This window comes from Homo sapiens, chromosome 20 (assembly GCF_000001405.40).
Source record: "Homo sapiens chromosome 20, GRCh38.p14 Primary Assembly".
Taxonomy (NCBI): domain Eukaryota; kingdom Metazoa; phylum Chordata; class Mammalia; order Primates; family Hominidae; genus Homo; species Homo sapiens.
The window spans coordinates 57,049,550-57,073,343 of NC_000020.11; the positions used below are offsets into that span (position 1 = coordinate 57,049,550).

At 46.9% G+C, this 23,794-nt stretch overlaps 2 annotated features.

Annotated features, from left to right (window-relative positions):
- Positions 15,546–16,047: an enhancer, noted in NCBI's record as "H3K4me1 hESC enhancer chr20:55640151-55640652 (GRCh37/hg19 assembly coordinates)". NCBI's record gives its function as "activates a minimal SCP1, AML or CMV promoter by ChIP-STARR-seq in primed H9 embryonic stem cells {active_cell/tissue: H9 hESC(primed)}" and the evidence as "EXISTENCE:reporter gene assay evidence [ECO:0000049][PMID:30033119]".
- Positions 21,544–22,107: an enhancer, noted in NCBI's record as "OCT4-NANOG hESC enhancer chr20:55646149-55646712 (GRCh37/hg19 assembly coordinates)". NCBI's record gives its function as "activates a minimal SCP1, AML or CMV promoter by ChIP-STARR-seq in naive and primed H9 embryonic stem cells {active_cell/tissue: H9 hESC(naive and primed)}" and the evidence as "EXISTENCE:reporter gene assay evidence [ECO:0000049][PMID:30033119]".

Below are 23,794 nucleotides of genomic sequence, written 5' to 3' on the forward strand. Positions count from 1 at the left end.
CCTGTAAATTACGCCGCAAAGCACAAGTACAGCTGTCAGAGCACGGCAGCTTGAGCAGCTTAGGAAACTAACAAGCACCTATAGGTCTCACAGTTACCTGGGAGGCCTTATTTTATTTTTTCCAGGTTTGATGGGGATCTGCATTGAGGATGGCGTCTATGCCACTCGTACGGCGGAGACCCAGAGTTCCGCAGATGTGTGTGGTCAAGCCTGCCCAGCAGCGTGGCCAGAGACAGAGCAGATAAAATATAAGATGTCCAGGTCAATTTGAACTGCAGATAAACAATGAGTAACTCTTCTTCTCAGCACAAGCAAGTCAGGGCATACTTACAGTAAAAAAAGTTATTCATTGTTTATCTAAACACCCAATTTAACTGGCTATTCTGTATTTGATCTGGTGATTCCTTTCCACATGGAAGGCCTGTTTGAAAAAATATTTACCTGGAGAGAAATCCAAAACATGGTCACTGCTTTCTCACTGGGCCCTTCCACGGCGTATATCTTTGGTGGGTGCTGACACAGTGAGCTTGCAGCAGGCAATATCCACAGCAGCTGAGATGGGGCTTCATGGCCCGGGTCGGAGCCCTGACTCAGCCACTTGCTTACCTGTGTGATCTTGGGCAGCTTTTTAACCTCTGGGAGCCTCGGTTTCTCCCTGTGCAAAACAGGCATGATAATAGGAATACAGTGGTCCCCCATTGGCAGTTTCGTTTTCCTAGGTTTCTGCTACCTGCAGTCAACTGCGGTCCAAAAATATTCTGAAACTAGAAAATTCCAGAAAGAAACAATTTGTACGTTTTAAATCGTATACTGTTCCGAGTAGTGTGATGAAATCCTGAGCCATCCTGCTCTGTCCCACCGGGATGTGAGTACTCCCTTGGTCCAGGGTGTCCACATTGGCCACACTATCTGCCCTTTACTGTACAGGAAAAAACGTACATAGGGTTTGGTACTATCTGTGACTTTAGGCATCCACTGGGGGGTCTTGGAAAGCATCCCCCACAGATAAGGGAGGAAGACTGCCTTTCATAACATTGTTTTGATGGTGTCCGAACATACTTCATATTAAGCACTTAGTACAAAGCCTGGCACTTAGTAAGCCCTTGAACACATGTTAGCTGGAGTCATTTTGTGTTTTAAACTTCATTCCTACGGAATCCATATCCCAAACTTCTGATGGCCTTTCCATTAAAAGGACAAGATCAGAATGCCTGTGTTGGAACAAAACATGGCCCCTTATCCAGGCATGGTGGTACACACCTGCAGTCCCAGTTACTCAAGAGGCTGAGGTGGGAGGATAGCTTGAGCCTAGGAGTTAGAGGCTGCTGTGAGCAGTGATCACTGGTACTCCAGCCTGCATGACAGAGCAAGATTTTATCTCTTAAAATAAATAAAATGAAAAAAGAAAACATGGCCCCAAGGCTAATGTTTTGGGCTGGACCCCAAAAAACTAGGACCTTCTGCTTTCAAAGTCAGTCTGGTTGCCTTCGAGTGTTTATGGGGTCCAACCAGGACAAAACCATGACACACTTTGCACAGTTCCCCAGTAGCAACACAGGGACTGTGCTGGGGCCACCTGGTTAGAGGCACTGTTCCTGAATTTGAGAACCAGTTGAAAGGTAATCCTGACTGACTCCCCAGTCCCACATCTAACTGCTGGGCTCACTGCTATGGAGATCATACCAGGACATGGTGACTGATTGTGTTGGAAACTATTTGAGTCACTTGCCTTTCCAATTCCTGCACAGCTCTGAGCACCGGGCCAGGTTCAAAGTACAATCATGCATTGCCTAACGATGCAGATGCATTCTGAAAACAGAATCCTTAGGTGATTTTGTCGCTCTGTGAACTCTGTAGCATGTACTCACATGAACTTAAATGGTATATAGAAGGTATAGCTTACCACACACCTAGGCTACCTGGTACGGCCTACTGCTCCCAGGACACAAACCTGTACAGAATGTTACTATACTGAACACTGTAGACAACTGTAACACAATGGTGAGTACTTGTGTACTGAAACATAACTAAACATAGAAAATGGAATGCATTGCACTATGACATCATGGCAGCTACACTGTCACTAGGCAATAGGAAATTTTCAGCTCCATTATAATCTTATGGGACTCCATCTTATACAGTATATGCAGCCCATCATATATGTAATCTGTCATTGACTGAAACATCTTTATGTGACACATGATTGCAGAATCAGGAATCTGCTCTCCAGGAGCTGAAACTGTGGAAGAAGAGATGAGCTATGAGGGCAAATAAGGCTAAATCAGGCCAGGGAAGGAGCTACTCTTCACCGAACAACTATTATTTGTTGAGTGTCATTTGCATATGGCATGCCATTTAATGCAATTTGGAGGACAGCCCTGAGAGGCTGTGTACAGAGGGAACTCCCAAGACTCAATAGGACGAAGAAGGTGCCCCCAGTGTCAACTGGAAGGCAGGGGACTGAAACTCAAACCTGGACTTGAGGCAGCTTGAGGGATTGAGGCAATATTTAGGTTTAGAAATGGAGAGGTCAAGATGAAGGGCAGTGAATTCTCCCCTAGAAGCTTAAAAAGAAATTCCGATAATCTACAGAGAAGAAGCTAGTGCTGATCTATCCAATATGGCTGCCATGAGCCACGTAGGGCTATTTAAACTAATAAAAATTAAATGAAATTTAAAATTTAGCTCCTCCGTCACACTACCCACTTTCAAGAACTCAGAGACCACATGTGGCCACTGGCTGCCATTTGCATAGAGCAGGTATGGAGGCCTCTTCACTTCCATCATCACAGAAACTTCTATTGTTGCGCACTGGTGTAGGGACTAGGGAAAAGTTTCTTTTCTGTGTCTAAATATTCCAAGAAAAATTAGAAATGAAATTTTCAATTTTCAAATGAAAAATTCAATCTTAATATTTGGGTTGCTTAAGCCTGAGGATAAAACCTAAGTTCTGGGCTCCTGTGAGAAAGACTACACAGCCCTAAGAAAAAATTCAAGGGAAAAAGAGCACCAGAACCCCAAAACTCCCATGGTAAATGTAGAACCTTAAGAAAACAATCTAGCACTCTTAAGAAAGAGTACACTTCCACTGCAGGCTTTCTTCTTTTAACCTCTTAGTGGATTGTCTGATGAAATAATCATGTTCAGATATATATATATATCGTGTTCAGATATATATATATATAGTGTTCATATATATATATAGTGTTCAGATATATATATATCGTGTTCAGAGATATATATATATAGTGTTCAGATATATATATATATATAGTGTTCAGATATATATATATGTATTGTGTTCAGATATATATATATATAAAATCCCAGGATCAGCTTGATTCTGGGCACTGATTTCTATACGAATTTTTGGATGCCCAAGTCCACACAGCAAAGTTACAGCCCTGATAAACACCTAAAGTAGTATTGCAAATTACTTTCTTAAAGAAAGGAAATGAAGGTAAAAAGTATGTTGTTAGAATTCCATTTGATTGCATATAAAAGAGAACTTAAATAAGTGACTTAAACAAGGGGTACCTATTTCCTTTTCATCTAAAAGATGTCTAGAGAAGAGCAAACCTGGGCTGGCAAGGGCACATAGTCACTGAGAACCCAGGCTCCTTCTGTTTTTCTGCTTTTCATTCTTAGCATGAGATTTCTTAGAGTCGTAGGTCTCCTCGTCGTCCAGAATGGCTGCTGGAGCTCCAGCCATCATAACTTATTCCAGGCAGGAGAAAGAAGCAAGGGAATTGGCAATGAGAGAAAGGGCGCACTTCTCAGCTGAGCCAACTTGACTTTAAGAAGCCTACAGAGCAGCCCCATGCAATGACCCTGCCTTACATCTCATGAGCCAGCTCTACCTGCAGGGATTCCAGAGATAAAGTCATTTAACTGAAAGAAAGAAAGGAGGAAACGAAGGAGGGAGGGAGGGGAGATATTGGATAGGTAACCCACAGTCACACACGGTACAAAGTGTAGCTACTTTGCCTGCAAACACCTAGGAGCAGACAGGAAATTCATTCTGCTCAATGGTGGTAAAGGGCAGGGTCTCAGCCACCAATCCCTACGGAGCCAGGTGTGACAGCAGGGAGTGGTGGGGATTGCGGCAACCTGGAGGGTCCATGCCTGTGCCTGTCTCCAGGAGCCTCTGCTCATCACTCTGGCTGATTGTTGGAACCAGACCTACTGATCCCAATTTCTTGTTGTTTTTTTTTTTGTTTGTTTGTTTGTTTTAAAGAGCATCAGGCAATCTAGATTGTAGAGTGTGATCTCTTCGTTTTTAAACGCTGCTTTCGCAGCTACTAAAAAAAATTTTTAAACAATGTGGGTGACAAATAAAATCAGCAGGATTTGACCCAGAGTGAGGGGTGGGGCTGTTTCCTGTTTATAATCCTCTGATTATAAACAGGAAAATAAAATAACTGCACCTCATGGGATTATCTGATGAAATGTGTGTATCACTTGTCAAGCGGGAAGAGAGATGATTCACCAAACACAGTGAAACCCACTGAGGTTGAAAGATGTTTGAGACTGGGTGGCTGCGGGGGCGGCCAAGCGAGGGGTCCCTGGGCCCCCCACTCAGCCCTCCTTGTCTGCTATCACCACCCACATCTCCCAACCTCCCTAGAGGTGCTGGGGCCAGGCCACGTGAAGAGGGGGTGAAGGTGGAGGGTTGCACCAAATCATTTCATGAGTGCCTCGGGTGAGGGCGAAACCTGATCAAGTCCCGGCCTGCGCTCCCACAGCCAGCGCCTTCTCCCACATTCGGGGTGTATTCCTTTGGGGATGAGCCAGGTCTCAACCCAGGGGTCTGGGATCTCAGGGCCCACAACCCACACAGAATCGGAGGTCAGCCGGCCTGACCTGGAGGAGAAAGTTCTAGAGAAGGGGGTTCAGGGTTCCGGCTCTCTGGCTCTCACAGCTGAGGCCAAAACGTCAGGCGCCACACCAGTATCTCGGCTTGCCATTTCGTCACCAGCTGAATGCCAGTCGCAAACACAACCCAGTCTGTTGTGAGCACAAAGAGTGTTCGGGATAACCCTGCTGCCTGCTGTGTGGACACAGCTTCCCGCCAGCATCAAGGCAGCTCAACAAACAAGGCTAGGGAATGCGCCCCCAACAGAGGTCCACTGTCTGCCCCGACGCCCGCCTTCCAGGGAGAGCATTCCAGTAGCTGACCTAACCTTCTGGGCATTGGCAGAACTCCCAAGAACCAATTGCGGGCGGTTCTCTACCCATCGTGACCAACCGTCCTCGTTTGCCTGGGACTGAGGGGGTTCCCAGGCTGTGAGACAATTTTTTTTTTTTTTTTTTTGAGACAGAGTCTCGCTCTGTCACCCAGGCTGGAGTGCAGTGGTGCGAAATCGGCTCACTGCAACCTCCGCCTCCCAGGTTCAAGCGATTCTCCTGTCTCAGAACTGGGATGGGTTCGCCCTTCAATCTCCACCATTGCTTTCCACAGACAGCCTCATTTCCAGGGATGGGGAAGGAAAACCTGTAACTGCCTGCAAAGGGGTTAGAGAGTGCTGGTGTCTTCTCAGGGAAGGCTGAACACCACCCTTCTCAGGAAAGACTTAGAATCGGTCCAACCTACAGAAAACCACCAGCAGCCACGGGGCAAGAGTTTTACACCCAACCGAAAATAAACAGTCAGTACCCTCATGGGAGAATCTCACTTTAGAGGTATTTATTTTTTAAAGTTGCTTTTGTTTAAGATCATTCCCACTTGGGCTGAATTTTCCTCTTGTTCTTGGCACAAGGTGCAAGGAAGTCTATGTAGCATAATCCCAAGTGGGTTTAGAAACAAAACAGAACTGGAGATGGGTAATCATGTGCTCGTGTACGCAGAGTGCAGGGCCACACACACCCGTAAACAGCAGGCCCTCTGCAGAGGGGGATTGGGGAACTCGGGGGCAGCAGACCTTTATGTTAGACTGTCCTGTCTTGCTTACCTTTGTTCACCAATTTTTGAGACCGGAAAGCTATAAAGCAGAACTGAAATTTCTTAAAACGTAACACTCTTCTTACTGAATGCTCAGCAGGCATTCGCGAGAATGGGTGCTGAACAGGTGGGATATATTGGTCAGTGAAGAAAGCAGGTTGCAGCATGGAATATAGAGGATAATTGCAAGTCAAAAAAACAGATCTACTGGTTGCAGATATTTGTACACGTGTAGAAGAAAGTCTGGAAGAGTTCACACCAAGACCTGAACTGATGTTTATACCTGGGAGAGGGAACATGAAGGCATAAACTTGTAATTCTAAATCCACCCTCTTCTGTTTGGGTTAACTTTCTTCATCCAGAGAACACGTACTTCTTTGTTTTTGGTTTTTTGTTTTTAAACAGTATATCTTGAATGTCCAACTAACAGCAGGTGGCCTTCCTTTTAATAAAAACCTAAGGTGTGGAAACTCCAAGGTTCACAGATCTGTAGGAATGACAGGGTTCCTTCCAATGGGCCATCTCTCTGGTGCAAAATGGGACACATTTTACACACCTTTTCAAGAACAAATCCCTTGTGTAATTAATTAAGCCTATAATTATAGACCAATCTTTAAAAATGTAATTTGTAGTTTCCCCGTAATACTTATTTCAAATCTGACTTCTGATGTGGGCTAAATTATATTGGAACCAATTTTTACTACGTGGAGACTCAGGATAAACCAGGCTTCATTTGATTGATTTAAATATATTGTGGTTTCCATGTTTATTACTCAGTAGTAACTGGTATTTATGGAGCCAGGCTGCATACCAGACCCTGGACATGGGACTCCGCAGTTAATTTTTTTTTTTTTTTTTTTTGCCTGGATTTGATATCCCAAAGCAGTTCATTTCATTTAAACCTCACAGCAACCTTCTGGGGGCACTTACTGCTCTTACTCTTTTAAGGGAACAAAGACTCCTGAGAGGAAACTGATGTACCCAAAAAGCAAAAGGCAAGGGCTGGAGCCCTGATCTGAATCTGGGGTCTATGTCAAGGTCACAGTGCTTGGACAGACACATTTACTTTGTCCTGGTTTTTCTTAATTCCTTATTCACTGTTTCTCTTCCTTCTTAGGGTCAACAGTGTTACACGACACGTTTCTGCTTGTGGCATTTGAAAAAATCTCTGGATTAGAGTAGGATCCCCTGCGTAGGAGTCAAAGATGTGAGGATTTTTAAAAAGAGAGACATGGGGTTTGACCTCTCCCAGCCACCTCTTTCCAAACAGCTCTTGGGTGACCAGGTGCACGGTCAATGAGCGGGTCTGACGGTCCATCTGCTCTTTTGTCTTGTGGGAAGAAAGGATGACTCAAGTCCTCTGCACTCTGGTGTGTCTGTAGTTGTGGATTCTCTCCTGGCTGTTTAAAGTATAGGCACACCTTGGAGATACTGTGAGTTTGGCTCCAGACCACAGCTATAAAGTGAATATGGCACTAAAGTGAGTCATGAGCAATTTTTGGTTTCCCAGCGCATAAAAAGTTATATTCACACCAGGCTATAGTCTAAGTGTGTAATAGCATTATGTCTAAAAAGACAATGTACATACCTTAATTTAATTAATTTGTTTTTAAAATTATTATTGTTATTATTATTGAGACCGAGTCTCACTCTATCACCCAGACTGGAGTGCAGTGGCGCAATCTCAGCTCACTGCAACTTCTGTTTCCCAGGTTCAAGCGATTCTCCTGCCTCAGCCTCCCAAGTAACAGGCACCCACTACTGCGCCCAACCCGTTTTTTTGTATTTTTAGTAGAGACAGGGTTTCACCAAGTTGGCCAGGCCAGTCTTGACCTCCTGACCTCAAGTGATCCACCGGCCTTGGCCTCCCAAAGTGATGGGATTATAGGCGCGAGCCACCCTGCCGGGCCAATTTTAAACTACTTTACTGCTAAAAAATGCTAACAATGGTCTGAGCTTCCAGACAATCTTTTTGCTGGTGAAGAGTCTTGCCTCAATATTGGTGGCTGCCGACTGATCAGGGTGGCAGTTGCTGAAGGTTGGGGCCACTGTGGCAATTTCCTCAAGACAACGACAAAGTTGGCCACATTGATTGACCCTTCCTTTCACAAAATATTTCTCTGTAGCATGCAGTGCTGTTGGATAGCATTTTATCCACATAGAACTTCTTTCAAAATTGGAGTCAATCTTCTCTAACCCTGCTGCTGCATTATCAAATGAGTTGATCCACTATCCTCAATCTTTTGTTGTCATTTCCACAATGTTTGCAGCATCTTCACCAGGAGTAGATTCTATATCAAGAAACCACCTTTTTTTTTTTTTTTTTAAAGACAGAATCTCGCTCTGTCACCTAGGCTGGAGTACAGTGTACACTGGAGCAATCTCCACTCACTGCAACCCTCACCTCCCAAGTTCAAGTGATTCTCCTGCCTCAGCCTCCGAGTAGCTGGGATTACAGGCGTGCACCACCACACCCCGCTAATTTTCGTATTTTTATTAGAGATGGGGTTTCACCACTTTGTCCAGGCTGGTCTTGAACTCCTGACCTCAGGCGATCCACACACCTCAGCCTCCCAAAATGCTGGGATTACAGGCATGAGCTATCTCACCCAGCCTCAAAAAATCCCCCCCCCTTTTTTTTTTTTTTGCTTATCTATAAGAAGCAACTCCTCAGCTGTTCAAATTTCATCATGAGATTGCGGCAATTTGGTCGCATCTTCAGGCTCCACTCCTAATTCCAGTTCTCTTGCTATTTCCATCATATCTGCAATTGCTTCCTCTGCTGAAATCTTGAACCCCTCAGAGTCACCCATGAGGACTGTGATCAGCTTCTTCCAAACTCTTGTTAATGTGGATATTTTGACCTCCCATCAATCATAAATGTTCTTAATGACATCTAAAGTGGTGATTCCTTTCTAAAAGGTTTTCAATTTACTTTGCCAAGATCCATCCAAGGAATCACCATACATGGCAGGTATAGCCTTATGAAATGTGTTTTTTAAACAAGACGACTTGAAAATCAAAATTACTCCTTGATCCATGGGCTGCAGAATGGATGTTGTGTTAGCAGGCATGAAAACATCATTTATCTCCTTGTGCGTCTCCATCAGAGCACTTGGGTGACCGGGTGCACTGCGAATGAACAAATATTGTGAAAAAAACCTTTTTTCCCTGCAATTGGTTTCAACAGTGGCCTGGAAATATTCAGTAAACCAAGCTGTAAACAGAGGTATGGTCATCCAGGCTTTGTTGTTCCATTGCTAGAGCACAGGCAGAATAGATTTAGCATAATTCTTAAGGGCCATATGATTTTCAGAACGGTAAATAAGCATTGTCTTCAGTGCAAAATCAACAGCTGCATTAGCCCCTAAAAAGAGAGTCAGCCTGTCCTTTGAAGCTTGGAACACAGGAATTGAGTTCTCCTTTCTAGCTATGAAAGTTCTAGATGGCATCTTCCAATGGAATGCTGTTCCATCTGCATTGAAAATCTGTTTTTTAGTGTGGCCACCTTCCCCAGTGATCTTAGCTGGATCTTCTGGAGAACTTGCTGCTGCCTCTCCATCAGCACTTGCTCCTTTACCTTACACTTTTATGTTACAGAAATGGCTTCTTTCCTTAAACCTCATAAACCAACCTCTGCTAGCTTCCAACTTTTCCTCTGCAGCTTCCTCACCTCTGTCAACCTTCACAGAATTGAAGAGAGCTAGAGTCTTGCTCTGAATTAGCAATCCTTGGGCTTAACAGAATGTTATGTATGGTTGATCTTCTACCCAGACTACTCAAACTTTCTCCATATCAGCAATAAGGCTGTTTCACTTTCTTTTTATACATGTGTTCACGGAAAAGTTCATTTCCTTCGAGAACTTTTCCTTTACATTTACAACTTGGCTAACTGTTTACCACAAGAGGCTTAGCGTTTGACCTGTCTCAGCTTTTGACATGCCTTTCTCACTAAGCTTAATCATTTCTAGCTCTTGATTTAAATTGAGAAAACTTTGGGAGGCTGAGGTATGAGAATTGCTTGAGCCCGGGAGTTCAAGACCAGCCTGGGCAACCTAGTGAGATTTCATCTCTACTAAAAAAAAGATTTTTTTAAAAAATTAGCCGGGCATGGTGGTGCTTGCCTGTAGCCCCAGCTACTCAGGAGGCTGAGGTGGGAGGATCATTTGAGGCCAGGAGTTCCAGGCTGCAGTAAGCCATAATTGCACCACTGCACTCCAGCCTGGACCACAGAGAGAGACCCTGTTTCAAAAAATACATAAATAAATAATAAAGTGAGAGACATGCGACTCTTCCTTTCACTTGAACACTTGGAGGCCAATGTAGGTTTCTTAATTGGCCCAATTTAACATTGTTGCATCTCAGGGAATAGGGAGGCATGAGGAGAGGGAGGAGATGGGGGAATGGCCAGTGGAGCAGTTAGGGCACACACATTTATCAATTAAGTTCACTGTCTTATACGGGCACAGTTCGTGGTGCCCCAAAACACTGCAATAGTAACATCAAAGATCACTGACCACAGATCACGATAACAAATATAATAATAATGAAATGATTAGCTCTATTGTGAGAACTGCCAAAATGCAACACAGAGACACCAGGTGAGCACCTGCTGTTGGAAAAATGGCACCATGAACCTTGCTGGAGGCAGAGTTGCCACAAAACCTTCAATCTGTAAAAAATGCAATAAAGCAAATTGCAATAAAGAAGGTATGCCTGTATAAATGTAATGCTGGGAGACACAAACTCTTTTTCAGAATATTAGAAAGGAACCATCTCAGGACAGAGGCAATGGGGAAGTGGGTGGGGTGCGGGTGAGCAGGGCTGTGAAGTCTTGAGATTTGCCTCTGCGGTTGCTGACAGAGAACGAGTTATTATTATTATTATTATTATTATTATTATTATTATTTGAGACAGAGTCTCACTCTGTCGCTCAGGCTGAAGTGTAGTGACACAAAGTCAGCTCACTGCAATCTCCACCTCCCAGGTTCAAGCAACTTCACCGTGGAGACAGTTTTCTTATTAAATTGCTTGTACTCTCTTAGAAGGATTACTCATTTGATCAGCGGGAGGAACCACTCCCAAAATACCTTTTGAGTCATTTGGGGTTTCTATTGCCTTTTGCATAAACTTTGAATTATTCTTTTTGTTGAAAAGGTTACTATTAGGAAACACGTTCACAGGCAGTCTGTAAATGTCATCATATTTCAGCTGGGGACAGAGCTACACGAGGGTTTGGAGGAGGCGGCTCAGGGAGAAGGCAGCACCTCAGCCTGTTCTCTCAATGCACTGGCTGCAAGGAGCAGCTGCAACCCAGAGCCCACTGGGCCCAGACACCTAGCTGCCACATTTCCAGGGGTGGGCCTGCTCATGACGCAGGCAAGACAGGAAAACCGGGACAAGCTCCTGACCAGGCAGAGGTCAGGGACAGCTGCTCAGGTGCCACCAAGCATGAGGCAGGGCACCACCCAAGGCTTCCTGCCCAAACCTGTGGCATGCCCTGTTGGTGCTTTGCTGAAACTGTCCTTCTCTAAGAAGGCAATGAAGACAGTTGTCCCAGGCCCCAAAAAGAAGCACTCACTCCCTTTCCCATGAGACCACCAGTTTCGGATAGAGATTCTGTTTGGCTGGCGTTCTCAACTCATTAGAATTGGAATTAAAGAGCAGGGATGGGAAGTGACATTACAAACTCCGATGCCCAGGCCCCATCCCCGACTAACTGAATCAGAAATGCTGGGAGGCGAGCTCAGGACATTATGTTTTTAAAACGCACCAGGTGAGGCTGACACGCAGCCAGGGCTCAGAACCATGGATTTCAGCCAAAAAGGCTTTAGCCCAAGAAGACCGTGCAAATACAAAATGCCAAAGGGAGGGTCATCAGGTGAGTTTCATAGAATTCTGATTCTCCTCCTAATAAAGTACGTCCCTGGTAGCTGAGAGATGGGAGAGCAGCTCCACATGTGGGACCTGCCAGGGGGATTCGGCATTCCTGCGGCCCCCTCTGCTGGCCATGATGCTCTCAGATTCTTTGCTGAAAGGGAACGGACATAGGAGCCATCCCACTAAACTCTTCAAAGGACGCTTCTCAGATGCCGGAGTCCACAGAGTAGGGCAACATACAAAGCAAGCACCCAAAACACTGGGGGTGAGAGTCTCAAACCTTGTACTCTGTAATTACATCCAGCATCACCATCACTTCTCAAAAGAGAAGACACTTTCCCAGCAAAAATAGAAAAGGAAAGCAGTTGCAGAATAGTTAAGACTGAGCCCTGAGACATCAGTTTAGCCTTGAGAAAAAAACTACTTCCATTGTCCACATTTTTCTTAGCTGGATTCCTACCAATGAACCCCTGCTGGGACTTGAGTTTGGGGGGCACTGAGTGAAGTAAGAACTTTTAGTTAAGAAATTATTCTTTGGCCGTGGTTGTAATATCGTAGTCAGGGATGGCTTCACGGGCATGTGTCCAGGGCCCCACACTTAGAAGCATCCTGCCCTGGGTTTAATGCTCTCTTGAAATTCTTCATAATTTTTGGACAAGGAACTCCGCCTTTTCATTCTGTACTGGGCCCTGCAAATTCTGTACCCAACCCTGATTTTCACTGGTGGATTTATGTAAACGTGTGTCTTTCAGTTAGTCAATAAATATGTCTTGGACACTTATCGGTGCCGGTTTCCGAGGACACACCATGTGCAGTATCGCTGAGGGCAGGATCCAGAGTGTGCCTGCCTCAGAAAGCTTTGCTTCTGGAGGGGCCACAGGGAAAATGTTCACCAATAGGAAAGCCTATAAATAAGATCATTGAAAAGATTGGGAATCTGACAAGGATATCTATGTGAAACAGGAGAGTTCCCTGAACCCCCTTGCAGGATGTGCAACAAGGGTACGGCTCATGTGTGTGCTCAAACCCCTTACAGGAGGGAGAGCACGCAGACAGGCAGGTGCAGGAGATAGGGTGAGCACCCCTGGGCTCCAGCCCCACAACAGCATCCAGGAGGTGGGATCCTGTGACTCCCGAAGCCCAAGTAGGCGTGTGTTACAGTGTGCTCTTTTAGCCTTGCCATCCATGGAGGGCTTAAGTGTTAACCAGCTCAGTCTTGGTACACAGGTCCTTGTCCAGCATTCAGGAAGAATCAGGTCACACATGGACTTGAAGGATGGTGAATGCAGGGATTTTATTTGGTGCTGGAGGTGGCTCTCAGCAGGACAGATGGGGACCTGGAAAGGGAATGGCGTGGGAAGATGATCTTTCCCTGGAGTTTGGCTGTCCCTGGGCCGATCTCTCTGACTGTCCCCAGCAGACGTTCAGACGCTCCTTCTCTTCTCTCCTCCTCCACCACTCCATTCTTCTGCTCATCTGCTCGTGGAACCTGGGTTTGGGGTTTATATGGGTACAGGATAGGGGGCCATGGCAGGCCAAAAGGCAACATTTGGGCATGAAAACAGGAGTGCCTGTTCCCATTTAGGGTTGCAGGTTTCCAGGCTTTGGGGCGGGGCCTCTGCCAGGGAGCTGCCCTCTTCCACCCAGTATTTCCCTGTCTCTTGTCTGTGTCACATGGAGGCTATAAAATGGGTAAAGTGTGGCAGGTGGCAGCAGGTAGCAGAGGCCCAAGAAGCCTTTTTGAAGGAGATGACATGGGAGCTGGGACTGGCAGGAAGAGGAAGCCATTATTTAAAGAACAAAGCAAAAGCGGCCGGGTGAAGGTGCATGTGGGAGGCTGGCAGCAGGTAGGCCATGGGGGAATGTGGGTTTTGTTTACAAAGAAGAGTAGAGAGGGGTCACTGAAACCATTTAATTGGGGAATCATAAGGTGAGGGGACATTTAGGGCAATAAAGAGCCAGTGGCAGCTGGCAGACCAAGGGGGCACGTGGCAGCTGTTCAGCCAAGGTGGAAGACGCTTGGCCTAGACTAGGGTTTCTCCACTGGGCACTACTGAAATTTGAGCCAGGTAAGTCTTCACTGTGGGGCCGTCCTGTGCAATGTAGGATGTTGAGCTGCATCCCTGGCTTCTCCTCACCAAACACCAGTGGGTCCCCTCCCCCTGAGCTGTGACAGCCAGAACTCTCTGCAGACATTGTCAAATGTTCCTTGGGCATCAAAATGGACCCTGGTTGAAGATCACTGGCTTGGGGTGATGAGAGTGGACAGGGAGAGAGGGAATAAAGTCAGGATGTATCTTGGAAATAGGACTGAGAGAATTAAAACTGATGGGTTGAATTGGGGGAAGGGTATTAAGGGGAAAACTGACTCTGTTTTCCAACTGGAAACATGATGAACAGTAGCAAAACGTAATGAACAGCAGCAGCATCTGTGCTGAGATCTGCTCGGGGCATGAGGAGCAGTGTGGGTATCAGGGAGAGATCATTACCAAGAATTCCATTTCAGCCAAATAGATTTGCTTTCTTCTAATCAGACAAAAACTTCCCACCACACAGCTGCTGGGATGATCCAACTCTAGCAGACAGTGTTGACTGGCTATTAGGGCTGCCAGAAAGAATACAATATGCCCAGTTAAATTCAAATTCTAGCTTAACAGTGAATAAGTTTTAGTATAAGTATACCGCCTCACCCCACTACTAGGCTTCCTCCTAGCAGCAGCAGGCAAATCGGCTCAATTAGGCCTTCACCCCTGCCCCCAAAACTGCATGGGACGTATGCCAAAAAGTATTTGTTATTTATCTGAATTCAGATTTAACTGGGCGTCTACAACATTTTTGGGTTTTTGTTTTAGTTTTCTAGGGGGAAGGCGGGGATGGGGCTTTGCTCTGTTGCTCAAGCTGGAGTGCAGTGGCGTGATTACATCTGCGGCAGCCTTGACTGCCCCGAGTCAAGCAATTCTCCCACCTCAGCCTCCTGAGTAGCTGGGACCAAAGGTGTGCACTGCCTCGCCCGGCTAATTTTAAAAAATGATTTGTATAGACGAGGTCTCCTTATGTTGCCCAGGCTGGTCTCAAACTCCTGGGCTTAAGGGATCCTCCCACCTTGGCTTCCGAAAGTGTTGGGATTATAGGCAAGAGTCACCAGGCCTGGTCCACAACATTTTTATTTACATATTTTTGCTGTATCTGAAGCCCTGTCACTTACCTGTCTTTATCCTATTTTGGTTCAGTTATCTGGAATCCATGGGCTTCGGGGGTGGCTCAGTTCAACAGTGAAACTTGATTGGTCCAAGGTGGTCATAGTAATTCCATTTCTTGCTAGTGATTGGCTTAGGTAAAGAGGATGTGACACAATGTTAGCCAATAAGAGTTGACAGAACATCTGGAAGCTGGGAGCTTTGGGGAAGTTTTTTCTTACCACTCTTAAGCGGGCTCATGAAGAAGACACTGCTCTCCCTCCTTCTGTGTTGGTATGAAGATATTATGTGTGGAGCTCTGGCAGCCACCTTGCAACCACAAGCAAAGCCTGAGGATGAGGACAATTTGGGGAGTATGGCAGGGCTGAAAGTTGTGGTCTTAGTAGCACCACTGAACCTCCAAATCTGCCCGTCCTTGAGCCACTGACTCCTTTTCGGGCTTCATGTTGGTGAGGTAACAAATTCCTTATTATTGGAGCCATTGGAGATGGTTCTTCTGTGTCTTGCTGCCAAGCACATCCTGACTGCTACGTCAGCCAGCCACTGTGCCACAGGAGCCATGAGGCTAGGTTTTGCCACGGGAGATACCGAACACAAGGGAAGAGGCTACAGGATGATGAGTGAATAGCTGGATTAGAGCTTCCTAGCATCTCAGCCTCACACTCTGACAACATCAAAGAAACATCTTTCTTGACACTTCTCCTCTTCCTGTTTCATTCACATTGAGAGAAAATTCTCTATGGTGTCTCCCATTTCTGCACATCTTGTGAGCAGAGGCACTGACAGCTTTTCTTCTATACTGTCTTTACAAGAAAACAACTTAGTAGACAGAAAAGTGTCTCCCTCTGGGGCAGCAGCCAGATTTGTTTGCCGTTGTTTACAAAGTTGATGTCTCCCTCCAGGGCAAAGGCTGATCATGTTTGCTTGCCCATCATCAATGATTTGGATTTTCTAAGCTCAAGATTCCTCAGCTGTGGAATCGCCACATCCAGCTGAGGACAGCCCTCAGCCTCAGCGGCTCTCAGACTCCCCAGGGACCCTGGCTCCCACCATGCCCCAGATGGCCCCTGGGCTGTTGAGTGACCATGGAGGGCCACCCCTTTGTATCAGGGGTTTGGATTTAATTAAAGTCTTAGAAAATATTATCTGTCACTGAGCAGCCCAGAAGGGTAGCCCTGCTCAGAACTGAGAAGCTTCTTCATGTGGCTCTCGAAGCTGTCAAACAGGCCCTCTGCAAACTGAGACTGAGGCCGTGTCAAATGCTTGTGGTTTACCTCGGGCTTTGTTATGTCCCAGAGTCTGGAATCCTGGTAATTACAGAAAAACGTCGGGTGGGGGGTGAAGGGAAGGCGTCAGAAAGTTATCTGTCTCAACAAAAGGAAGAGAGGAGAGGGAAAGAAAGGGAGAGAGAGACAGACAGAGAGAAGAGAGAGAAAGAGACAGAGAGAGAGACAGGGGGACCAAGGCTGCACGCTGTGAGCAAAGATTCTCAAAGGAAAATCAGAGCAGTCCTGTCGGAAGGGAGGATGGAGCTGGCCTGGCTAATGAACAAACAGAGCGAAACAGTCCCACAAAACAGATAGCTACTACACCATGCTTTCCAATGTTGAGAGCGCCGATGAAGATCATCACGTTCAAAAAGCAGGTCACCAAGCAGAATGTAAGCATGTATTTCATTTTTCAAAAAAGAAACACCCATTCTATACCAGTCTATCAACTGTGATGCTCTGCGGATGAGTCACAGTAGAGGTTTTAAAACAATTTTCTGTTGGTCTGCCTGCATCTGCTAATTTTCCTACAATGGGCATATTCTAGCAGTTCCCATGTCATGAACCCACCAAAGGAATAAATAAAAGACAGAAAACTGAGCAGACACGCAGATCCTCCCAAACCCTTTCTCCTTGTTAAGTTCTGTCTGCACAACAAAGACCAGTGGAGAAATGAAAAGCTGCAGTCAGTTTTCTGACTTTGCTGGCTGGGAGAAGCGATCTGGACTCATCTTTTCCAGGTGTTTGGGAACATGGCTCTGTCCCTGGGTGAGGAAACCTCAATTTCAGGCTGCTGATCACAAGTGCACCTTCCGTGACAATCTCCTTAGGGCTGCACTTTCAGGGAAGGAATAACATCAGGGCTGCAGCCCACACGGGTCGTACCCTTGGCAGAACCTCCTGGAGGCCCTGCCGGGGTTCCTGGGGTCCCAGGGATGGAGACATCCCTTTGTTTCCTGTTTAGGGTGGTTCTGATTACAGATGAGGCCAAACTGGAATAAATCACAACCAGACCTCCTCTAGCCAGTGGCTCAGGGCTCTGTTGATTACAGTATCATTAGCAGGAAGGAAGAGTTAACAGGGAAGACACAAGCTGATGTGGCTTGGATGTTGTCCCCTCTAAATCTCATGTTGAATTGTGATCCCTAGTGTTGGAGGTAGGGTCCAGTGGGAGGTTTTTTGGTCCTGGGGGCGATCCTTCCTAGCAGATGCTGCCCTCATGGTAGTGAGTGAGTTCTCACAAGATCTGGTTGTTTAAAAGTGTGTGACACCTCCCCCCACTTCTCTCTTGCTCCTGCTCTGACCTGTGATACACAGGCTGTCCCTTCACCTTCTGCCAGGACTGTAAGCAGCTCAAGGCCTCCCCAGAGGCCAAGGAGATGCTGGCATCACACTTCCTGTACAGCCTACAGAACTGTGAGCCAGTTAAACCTCTTTTCTTTGTAAATTACCCAGCCTCAGGGATTCCTTTATAGCAACACAAGAAAGCCCTCATAACAGCCTTGGGCTTCAGTAAGGGCTCCAAAGACAGGCAGATGTGAATTCCACCCCAGGAAAAAAGTCCTCCTGGCTGGGGGACCTAGGACAAGTGTCTTCACCTCTGAGACTCAGTTTCCACCCCTGGAAGACGGGGATGGTAAGTGTATTAGTCAGAGTTCTCCAGAGAAACAGAGCAATAGAAGATATATATATATATGTATATATATATATGTATGAAGAGGAATTGGCTTACATAGATACGGGGGCTGAGAAGCCCTGCTATCTGCCATCTGCAAGCTGGAGACCCAGGAGGATCTGGGATAATTCAGCCCAAGTCTGAAGGCCTGAGAACCTGGGGAGCTGATGTTGCAAATCCTAGTCCAAGGGCGAGAGAGGATGAGCTGAGATGTCCCAGCTCCATTTGGTAGACAGGAAGCAAAAGGGTGAAGCCCTCTTCTCTCTGCCTTTTGTTCTATACAGGCCCTTAAACAATTTGGACAAGGCCCACCCACATTGGGGAGGGCCATCTGCTTTGCTAAGTGAACCAATTCAAATGTTAATCCCATTTGGAAACCCTCTTACCAACACACCAAGAATCATGTTTAATCTGGGCATTAATTGTGGCCCAATCAAGTTGACACGTAAAATTACTGTGGTGGAAGGAAGTCTCCCTCATTGGCAGGATGAGGGGAGATGAGTGTGGGAGTGGCACACAAGTTCTTCACCTGTGGCAGCCTTTCTCATGTGACAGAGTAAAGATGAGGCATTTACCAACAACCCCTCCTTTGCTGGCCAAAGGGGCGTTAGTCCAGTTCAACCATCACTTTGTCTCCTGCCCTCTGGGGAGACTCACTCTCTATCAAACCCTTTGGGTTCTTGGACCTCCTTTCTGGGATGCCAGAAGGTCAAGAAAGCCTGGATTTGATGGAAGGACAGAGAAAGGCTTTAAAGAGACTGATTAAGACAATCTACAAAATAAAGAGCTGAGAGAGAAAAGAGTGGGCAGAAAAGGTAAAATTTTCCTGCAGGATGGGGGAGGGAAATGGCACTGGAGATGAGGAAAGAAGACACTTAGGGAACATAAGTGTCAGACAATGGGAGAATAAGGAAAAGGGGATCTGAAAAAAGTGGCAGGAAGTCAAGCATTGGGGAACTTTGAGTGATCTAGGATTCTTTCGTTGCAAGCAACAGCAATCAGTCCTGGCTGACTTTAGAAAAAGGGAATTCACTGGAAGCATCACAGAACTGAGGGCAGGCTGCAGATGTGGGACTGAGAATGAGTAGGAGCAAGGCAGGCTGCAGGCTATGAGGCAGGTAGCAGAAACAGTCTGATCAAGGTGCAGTTTCTGCGATGGAATGAAACACCAACAATGTCAGCCTCTTTGTCCCTTTGCTTGAGACTCAGGTTCCAAAGTGGGCTATCTGACTGACTTGGTGTGGTTCATGTGCCTACTTCTGTCTGTCTTGTGTGGAGGGGAGGGGTGCTGTAAGCCCAGTGCCCTATCTGTAAATGGAGGAGGGCAAGCCCTTGAATCAAAACTGTCATGGTTATGAAGGGGAAATGGGGCCAGGCAACCAAACATGATGAATTTCCATTACGCTCTTTATGTTCTTTTGAAAGTAGCAAATGGAGGTGCTTTCAAACATCGTTCTGGCTGCAGAACTGTGCATCTTGCACACATCACTTCTCCAAGGTCTTGGTCATTGACCCTCATGGGTCACAGCTTCCTTAAGGTTACTTTATTATTAGAAATACATAAACTGGAGAGTCTTGTGATAGACAGGTGAATAAAATGTCATAGGAATGCAGAAGAGGCAACCTGAGGAAGCCGGGGAAGGCTTCACTGAGGAGGTGACTTTTGGGCATGCTTATAGAAGTTTACAGGGCTAAGCAGCTGATAGGTAGTAGGTGGTAATAAATGCATCTCAATACTTATTTGAGATAAATCAATCTTAAGCAAAGCATGTAGGATTGAAGCCAATCCCCTTCTTCCTAGGAATCTGGGACAAGACTGTCTTGTAACTTGTAGCTTCACCTAACCCAGATACTTCTGGTTATAACTGCAGGCTTTTATGGACAATTTCACTTTTTCTTTTAAATAACTTTCATCAAGACCAATGACACTATTTGACATTAAGTCAAATCGTGCAGAGAAAAACTGGGGCAAAAGTCTTATTTTGTAATTTGTCAGAATGGGTTCTGAAAAGCTGTGCTTGCTCCCAAGGGTTTCCTGCAGGCGAAAAGGAAACTTCCCTAAGACAGAAGAGGGAATCCACCATTTGGCCCCGGATGGATGGTCTCAGCCACAGGACAGGAACAAGGACAGGAATCTGCTCACAGGTCCCCGCCCAGCTGCTCTCTGACCGGCCACAGTATTCAGGCCAAGACACTCAGCTGTGACTGCGAATGCTACTTGTCTGACCTAAGGATCTAAGGACTGTAGCTGCCTTGTTTGCATTTCTTACTCCAACGATAACTCAAAGAAAAGAAAATGAATCACCGTGGAAAATGAGGGGAGGGTGCAAAAGTAGTGCCGCAGAGCCTCAGAATCCTCCCACCTGCCCTCCACCTGCATCTCCACCAGCCCATTCTCACCCTTCCCCACATCGCAGGAGAGGAACCGCCCAGTTTCCGGGAAGACAGGGTCACTTGGTTTAGCTGGAGTGGTCCCACTCTTCCTAAGTACCTGGTCTTCACAGTAGCTGCTGTGGCAGGGAAGGACGCAATCCCAGGACTAGACTCTTATCTTCTCCTTTTGCCCAGGCCCCACCAGCTTCCACACTGAACAACACGGGGCCTGTGGATCCATCCTCATCCCCTCCCTAAGCTACTGACCCACTCCCCTCCCCCTCCTGGCATTGATGGGCTGTCCTCAGGGAAGCCAGTGACCCTAGTCCAGGGCCTCAGACCAGGGTCAAGGGGCAGAATGTCTACACCAGGCCAGGGATCCCTGCAGACTGGTCTTCGGGAAGTGCACCCCCAGATGCAATCAGTTCACAGAGGAAAACCACATTTTGTTTAGTCTTTTCCTAGTCTAGAAGGCCTAGTATTTAATAAACCCTGGAGCCAGCCCTGAGGGGGACTGGCTTTTATGGGCTCCAGGCAGCTCTCTCAGCCTCTTCCCAGGTGGGGGGGCTTGGCCTGTTGGCAGCTGACTTGAGTTTTCTTCCCAGCCCCACCTCGCCCAATGCCCCCACCTTTTCCATGAGATGAAGAGAAACTTGGCCTCCAAGGGTCACTCTTCTCCCCAGGAATGTGTGGCCCAGCTTCTCCAGTTTAAAAGACTTTCCTCTGCTCCAGGGCTGACCCCAAACAGATGGGAACCTCTAGAGCTTGGTTGGCCAATGCCATGTTCAGCCCAGTCACAGCTGAGATCTTGTCACCTAGGTGAGTGCTTTACTGCTGGAGAAGTAGCAATCAAGAGAACAGTTCTTTTTAACATGGACATGAGAGATTTTAGGGACCAGTCCCCAGTGCTCAAATCATAGCAGGTCCCACCCAAGAACTTGGCTCATCCACAAACCAAGCTCCTGCCAAGCCCTGGCTTATGGAGATGGACCAGACATTCCTGGGGCATCATGGCAGGCGGCCACTGATGCTGTCTCAAATCCTGGGGTTCCATATTACGGAGAGAATCAGCTGCAAAAGGCAACAATTGTCTTTGAGTCACCCCTGCCCTTCCAAAAATCAGGCTTTCAAGAGTTGAAGGCGTGAAGCGTAATGCAGGGAATTTCTGACAGTGCAGAGGGTATCTGACAGGCTGGGATGTTCCAGCGATGACTGAACACGCAGATTGAATGGAACACTGATTACATTCTTGGTTAGCCGCCTATATAGCCCATACTGGGTCCTCATTACATGTGCCCTAACAACAAACATTATGTTTCATTAAAATATTACACACTTAGGAAAATACTTCTAAAAATGCAAAGAGGAGAATAAAAACTACCGCAAGTGCTATACTGAGACCCAGCGCTGTGGCAAGTTCCCCTGACCTGTCTGCAGGGATCATTACAAGCCGATACTGGCTGCCCAGCGGGACCTGATGAGACATCAGAGAGCTCACGTGACCTCCATTATCACTGTCACCGCCGTGCGTGCTGTTCACACAAACATCGGAGATGTAAGTGACACTTTACAACAATTCCTGAGCCTTCCATCATGTGGCTCAGAATGTCATGGCCCAGATGATGTCGGGGGGTATTAAAACAAATAAATGAACCATCGAACAAGTAAATAAATAAATACACAAAGGAAAGCGGGGAGAGAGAGGGAAGGAACCGGTTAGGGCACTCACACAGTGCAGAGGAGTCTGAAAAGGAATGCTGCCTGCTGGCGCCCTGGCTCTCTGTCTCTCTCCCTGTCTTTCTGTCTCTGTGTGTGTTTTTCCTCACTCTCTGTCTCTCTCGCCATCTAGCTGTCTCTCCTCTCTCGGCCCTTTCTCATCATAAACCCCCTTACATGTGATCTCCTTTAATCCTCACAACAGCCTGATGTAGTCACTGGCTTTCCTCCTATTTTACAGCTGAGAAAACTGGAGCTCTGAGAGATGGACTACCTTGCTCCAAGACACACAGGTGAATCCTAGTGGAGCTGGAGTCAGCCCCAGATAGCTCTATGCCCACCCTCCACCTCCCCCTCCAGCCTGTGTGTGCACGTATGTGCGGGTGTGTTGATGGGAATATACCCTAAGTCAGATTGCAACTTGCAATCTACAGCTCACGGACCAGAAACCTTAGCATTTCCTGGGAGCTCTGTAGAAATGCGGTGTCCCAGACCCCTCCCCAGACCTCCCAAGTCAGAAACTGCATTTTCACAGGATCCCTTGGGAACTCCTGGGCATGTGACAGGCTAAGAAACACCTCTCTACATCTCTCTACAGCCCTTCTCCCACTGCCAGGCAGGACTGAGTTACTGCTTTCCTGAGAGGAGGGAACTACATCACTCCCCAAAAGGAAACTGGAGACCACGCTAGGCGAGCACAGCTTTCCTGAATGCCAGCATACCAGGGCTGGAGGTGCAGGTTTGGTGCTGCCTCCGTCACCCTAAGCCCTCAACATCTCCATCCCCTGGTCTCTTGGTAAACAGCTAAGCCAAGATGGCCAGAGCTGGGAGGATGATTGGGCTGAGTCATGTCACTGTAGCCCACAGACAAGTCTGCAACCCATTAAAGACTTCTCTTCTCCATTAATTTCAGAGACAAAGAGACGTTTGAAGTTTAATGTCATTCTCTTGCTCAGCCTTCCTCAATGAGGCCCCCAGAAGGGTGAGTGAGGGGCTCTCGGAAGGAGTGGGGCTACTGCAGGGCTGGCTCCAGCCGCAGTGTGGGAGTACCCAGGTCTTTGCTTGGAACAAACACCTATTTGACAGACAGCAGTTGGGTCCTGGGTAGAACCATTGAGACCAGCTACCATTCCTGGTTCTGAAATTTAATAATGAAATAAATGTAATCACACATATTTAATTAAGCCATTTCTTAATAATCATTATCATAGCATGGCACACTCCCCACACGCCTGGCATAGCAAGGCACTATCATACGCATAGAAGCATAGACCTTTGCTGAGAGCGTCACTCCGTACCAACCCCAGACTCAGTAGCGGTGAGAACTTGCCCAAGTCAAAAGCTTCCCTGCGGCTCATTTCCTCCTCTGTAGAACGGGGGACTGAAAACAAGGAACAGGCATCGGGACAGCGGATCATGAAACTGGTGCCCCATGCAGTGGGTACTCTAAAATACGAAGGAGCAGGTTTCGGGTGCAGCAGCAGCAAGGATAGAGCTGAAACACAGATGCCTAAGGGAAGGACGCCAGACCTGGAAGAGGACAAACGGGGTGATCTTGCTTACATAAAGCTCGAAAACAGGCCAGAAGGCCAGAACCAATCTGCAGCCAGAAAGCAGCACCACGGCCACCCAGGGCAGAAGGAGGTGGGGTCTTCCTGGGGTGAGGGGGGCCGTGTTCCACGTCTTGTTCTGAGTGTGGAAGGGTGTACATGTTTGCCACAATGTATCAAATGCCACCCTTAAA